Source organism: Homo sapiens, chromosome 20 (assembly GCF_000001405.40).
Source record: "Homo sapiens chromosome 20, GRCh38.p14 Primary Assembly".
NCBI lineage: Eukaryota > Metazoa > Chordata > Mammalia > Primates > Hominidae > Homo > Homo sapiens.
This window is the reverse complement of record NC_000020.11, coordinates 24,900,033-24,902,695: the sequence shown is the minus strand read 5'-3', so window position 1 is coordinate 24,902,695 and position 2,663 is coordinate 24,900,033. Positions and strand designations below refer to the sequence as shown.

General features: G+C 49.2%; 1 annotated feature.

Moving 5' to 3' along the window:
- Positions 1,790 to 1,969: a silencer, noted in NCBI's record as "fragment chr20:24881363-24881542 (GRCh37/hg19 assembly coordinates)". NCBI's record gives its function as "represses an EF-1alpha promoter that drives an FKBP-Casp9 reporter gene in an ReSE screen in HepG2 liver carcinoma cells {active_cell/tissue: HepG2}" and the evidence as "EXISTENCE:reporter gene assay evidence [ECO:0000049][PMID:32094911]".

Genomic DNA, 2,663 nt, shown 5'->3' with positions numbered 1-2,663 from the left:
GCACAGTGATGGGTCTTGACTCTTTATCCAATTTGCCAGTCTGTGTCTTTTAATTGGAGCATTTAGTCCATTTACATTTAAAGTTAATATTGTTATGTGTGAATTTGATCCTGTCATTATGATGTTAGCTGGTTATTTTGCTCGTTAGTTGATGCAGTTTCTTCCTAGTCCGGATGGTCTTTACATTTTGGCATGATTTTGCAGCGGCTGGTACTGGTTGTTCCTTTCCATGTTTAGTGCTTCCTTCAGGAGCTCTTTTAGGGCAGGCCTGGTGGTGACAAAATCTCTCAGCATTTGCTTATCTGTAAAGTATTTTATTTCTCCTTCGCTTATGAAGCTTAGTTTGGCTGGATATGAAATTCTGGATTGAAAATTCTTTTCTTTAAGAATGTTGAATATTGGCCCCCACTCTCTTCTGGCTTGTAGGGTTTCTGCCGAGAGATCCGCTGTTAGTCCGATGGGCTTCCCTTTGAGGGTAACCTGACGTTTCTCTCTGGCTGCCCTTAATATTTTTTCCTTCATTTCAACTTTGGTGAATCTAACAATTATGTGTCTTGGAGTTGCTCTTCTCGAGGAGTATCTTTGTGGCGTTCTCTGTATTTCCTGAATCTGAACGTTGGCCTGCCTTGCTAGATTGGGGAAGTTCTCCTGGATAATATCCTGGAGAGTGTTTTCCAACTTGGTTCCATTCTCCCCATCGCTTTCAGGTACCCCAATCAGACGTAGATTTGGTCTTTTCACATAGTCCCATATTTCTTGGAGGCTTTGCTCATTTCTTTTTATTCTTTTTTCTCTAAACTTCCCTTCTCGCTTCATTTCATTCATTTCATCTTCCATCGCTGATACCCTTTTTTCCAGTTGATCGCATCGGCTCCTGAGGCTTCTGCATTCTTCACGTAGTTCTCGAGCCTTGGTTTTCAACTCCATCAGCTCCTTTAAGCACTTCTCTGTATTGGTTATTCTAGTTATACATTCTTCTAAATTTTTTTCAAAGTTTTCAACTTCTTTGCCCTTGGTTTGAATGTCCTCCCGTAATTTGATCGTCTGAAGACTTCTTCTCTCAGCTCGTCAAAGTCATTCTCCATCCAGCTTTGTTCCATTGCTGGTGAGAAACTGCATTCCTTTGGAGGAGGAGAGGCGCTCTGCTTTTTAGAGTTTCCAGTTTTTCTGCTCTGTTTTTTCCCCATCTTTGTGGTTTTATCTACTTTTGGTCTTTGATGATGGTGATGTAGAGATGGGTTTTTGGTGTGGATGTCCTTTCTGTTTGTTAGTTTTCCTTCTAACAGACAGGACCCTCAGCTGCAGGTCTGTTGGAATACCCTGCCATGTGAGGTGTCAGTGTGCCCCTGCTGGGGGTTGCCTCCCAGTTAGGCTGCTTGGGGGTCAGGGGTCAGGGACACACTTGAGGAGGCAGTCTGCCCATTCTCATATCTCCAGCTGCGTGCTGGGACAACCACTGCTCTCTTCAAAGCTGTCAGACAGCGAAATTTAAGACTGCAGAGGTTACTGCTGTCTTTTTGTTTGTCTGTGCCCTGCCCCCAGAGGTGGAGCCTACAGAGGCAGGCAGGCCTCCTTGAGCTGTGGTGGGCTCCACCCAGTTTGAGCTTCCTGGTTGCTTTGTTTACCTAAGCAAGCCTGGGCAATGGCGGGCGCCCCTCCCCCAGCCTCGCTGCTGCCTTGCAGTTTGATCTCAGACTGCTGTGCTAGCAATCAGTGAGACTCCGTGGGCGTAGGACCCTCCAAGCCAGGTGCGGGATATAATCTCCTGGTGCACCGTTTTTCAAGCCCGTCAGAAAAGCGCAGTATTCGGGTGGGAGTGACCTGATTTTCCAGGTGCCGTCTGTCACCACTTTCTTAGACTCAGAAAGGGAACTCCCTGACCCCTTGCACTTCCCGAGTGAGGCAATGCCTCGCCCTGCTTCGGCTCGTGCACGGTGCACACACCCACTGACCTGCGCCCACTGTCTGGCACTCCCTAGTGAGATGAACCTGGTACCTCAGATGGAAATGCAGAAATCACCATCTTCTGCATCGCTCACGCTGGGAGCTGTAGACTGGAGCTGTTCGTATTTGGCCATCTTGGCTCCTCCTTGCAGTTAGACCTTTTTAAGCATACTCACAAATCAATCAGCCCTCTAGGTGGGAGAGTGTCCCTGAGAGAATTCCACAGGAAGATAGAGGTGTCTTCTGTGAGTTTGCCTGTAGGCTGTCTCAGCTGTGACCCACATGTGTGGCCAGCCTAGCTGCTGGGACAGTCACAGAGGCGCCCAGCATCAGGGGAGGAAAGCGGAACCCCCCGACCCCCACCAACTCCAAGCTGTCTGACTGCAGGTCCAGCCTCATTAGACCCTCGAAATAACTCAAGATTTTCCTTTATTTCCTTGTGTGGGGTGGTCCAGCAGGCCCATGTGAGGGGTCCCTGCTCCATCCCACTGGTAGGAGCCCAGGCCTCCTGGAATGCACAGGTAATGTGTGCTATGGGCAGTTGGAAGCAGAGGTTAGTGGGGCATGAGAGAACTTGTGTCCCGCAGCAGGTAACAAGCTCCATGGAAGTGCCCTTTAGCCTGGGCCTGAAGGTCGGCAGCATGGGCCTGCAGGGGTGTAGAGGGCCCTCCAGGTGAGGGGCGGTGTGGGAGAGATGCTTGGAGGTGGAAATCCCAGGG